Genomic DNA, 3179 nt, shown 5'->3' with positions numbered 1-3179 from the left:
TAAATGAGAAAACACATTGTCCAGTAGGCAAACATAAATATAAATAAAAATATTTTAATCAGCTGGGTGTGGTGGCTCATACCTGTAATCCTAGCGCTTTGGGAGGCTGAGGTGGGAGGACTGCTTGAGCCCAGGAGTTCAAAACCACCCTGGGCAACATAGAGATAATCCATTTCTACAAAAATTTTTCACAAATTCGCTGGGCATGGTGGTGCATGCCTGTGGTCCTAGCTACTCTGGAGGCTGTGGTGAGAGAATTGCTTGAGCTTGGGAGATCAAGGCTACAGGGAGCCATGAATGTCCCACGGCACTCCAGCCTGGATGACAGAGTGACACTTTGTCTAAAAAAAAAAAAATAATCAGTTTAATGATTTTGACTTACACAAACACGAACAATGTGAAAATACACACTTAGAGGTTAGAAGTCATAAACTATGTAAACTCAAATGAAAGCCATATTTGAAAATTATCTTTAAAATTTGAATAAATTTGAGTAGTTAATTGGTTAAAAATAATATAAAAGACAGAATACAAAAACTTAATGATAATGAAACTATAACAATGAGACTGGATCAGGAAGTGTGCCACCTTAATACACATTGAACACTCTCCAAAATGTAAAAACAATAATAATGACCGTATCTTTATTTATACCCTTGGCATTTTGTTCATCATTGACTTTGGCATTAATTTTGATTTTTAACCATTTGCATCAGAATAGTATTTATTTTGGTTGCTATGACTTTTGGTACACTTTTAATTTTTGCACCTAAGGCAAGGCTTTTGGTCACCTTATTGTAGGAGAGTTGGATGAGAGATCACTGGAAAAGAAGCAATATGACAAAGTGTAGACAAAGATGAAATTTAGTAGGGACTTACTATATATATTCTAGATGATGTTTTTTCAGCATCTTAGGTAGAAACTGACCCTTTATAATGTCATCTGCTTATTCCAAACTTCTTGGGGAAAAAATATCCATCTCCTTATTCCTATTATCTCTTCCTGGGACTCACAGATCAGGTGGATTTTCATTCAGAGTAAAGACTGTATTTTTTTTAATTGTAAAACATGTGTTCAAGATTGTGCTCTCTGCAGTTTTTCAGTGGTGTTGGTGGTTGGGAGGACAGTGTAAGATCCATTCTACCTGAGTTCAAGATTGGCCTTTGCAGTTTTGTAGTTCTCAGAAAACTAGGCACCCTATCTAAAGATCATGTAGGGCTGCAATGGGAGAAATAGAGATTGAACTCATTGGTGTTAAGTATGTGTGCATTTAATAAGAATTTGGAAGTATTCAAGATATATTAGAGACAGTGAGATTAGAGTCTTTTAAAGTCCAGTAGGTATGTGGGATCCCTATTGGCCTGCTGGCAATTGTATAAAAAGATAGTTGATTATGTCTAGAAAAAGAGGATCAAAGTATAATCAGGTAAAGCCAAAGGTGAGACTATAGCCAAAACTAGTTGAGTTCCTCATAGTTTGGTGAGTTTGCACTGAAGAATGATATTAGCCTGTTTTATTATTCCGATAATTGCAGGTGATAAGGGCAGTGTAGCTTTTACAAGAGTATAAATCCCATTATATGTTCTGAATAACCTTACCAATGAAGTAAGTTCCTTTATTGCTAAAGAGAAACGATGAGATCCTTCAAATAGAGAAAAGTATTTTAATAGAAGCTTAAGTTAAGCTAAAGTGATAGGAGTCTATTTATGAAGATGAGCTTCCAACCATCTGAAAACATGCACATTAAGGTTAGAACTGTCAAAAATTTCCATAAGAGTTAAACAGGCAAGAAATACTTTATTGAAAACCTTTACCATATTAAAGAGATATGAAACTCATCTCCATTGAAACAAATCACGAGAGTTTTAAGCACTGTGTGAGGCGGTGAAAAAGTGGTGGAGATATTGAGGGAGAGAGGTTAGTCAACGTGATTGGGCAATATGTGTTTGCTAATTGGTGCTTATAAAAGTTAGGCTGCTACCCTCTACAGAAACTGGGAGACAGGAGTGCTGTCTTTCTTGATCATCACATTTCCAAGGTGTGTATCCCACTTCCTTGTGACATGCATTTCTGAGTTGCAAAAATGCCAAGGGACTGGGGGAAAATAATATATCAAAGGAGGCAGAGAAATAATTTACACTTGCAAGTTTTTGTAAGTAAATGCTCTTAAAAGAAAGGGATGTCAGTGGCCAATAGTCAGGAGAAAGCCTGTTTACAGTTTAGAAAAGCTAAGGAGAATATGAAGACCATCTTGGTCAGAACATTTTTATACTGCCTTATACTTAGAAAATGACTGAAATATATTTGCAAATGGAGAAAGGGACCAGAAGATCTGGTACTTTTCTGTGCCCTACCTTTATATTTTTACCAGGATTTGTTTCTGGCAGATGGGACAAGTTGAGATGAACTACTTAACATGAGGGCTGAAATGTGCAGTAGACCTTTGCAATTTTGCCAGAATTTATAATCATCTGGAAGCCATAGACTATATTTTGGCAAGAAATCAAGAATCCTAGCAGCTGTTTGGATATCTTAAAAGACCATCTTACCTATGTAACAAATCTGCACATTCTGCAGCTGTATCCCAGAACTTAAAGTATAATTTAAAAAGGCCATCTTAATAGATAAAGTATCAGCCTTTTTTCCAATAACTTTCAGCCTCAAATGACAGCATTTGTATGCCTTAACCTTCTTAGAAGTGGCTGGGTGTATCTGATTATATGAGTATCATGTTCAAAGATGACATTCCAGGCAAGGCTCTGCTTGTATAATAAATTATTTTAATTATAAACTACTAAAAAGGAGGATAGGTTCTTACTGAACTTATGCAAACAACCATGTTGCCATGGAAATAAGCATACTCAACAAGAGGTTTTGAATTACAGAAATGGGTAAGGCAGAAAAAGATGAATGTTTTATTTCTATTTATAAAAGCACAGTCTAATACAATGATGAGTTATGAATACTTTAAGGGAAAAGAGAAAGACGTCTCTTACCTCCAGAAAACAAAAATATTATCACATCAATAATATTCTGAAAAAAGCTAAAGTTATTCCCTCATCAGCTCACTCATTTCTTTGTAATTAATATTTTTTTCAATTCAATCTTGGGTTATCAATTTTACAGTCCCATCTGTTCCTCACGTAAAGTCTTGGAAACCCTGACTCGGTGTACTAGT

Source organism: Homo sapiens, chromosome 13, assembly GCF_000001405.40.
Source record: "Homo sapiens chromosome 13, GRCh38.p14 Primary Assembly".
Classification (NCBI taxonomy): Eukaryota; Metazoa; Chordata; class Mammalia; order Primates; family Hominidae; genus Homo; species Homo sapiens.
The sequence above is the reverse complement of the archived record's forward strand: the minus strand, read 5'-3'. Positions refer to the sequence as shown.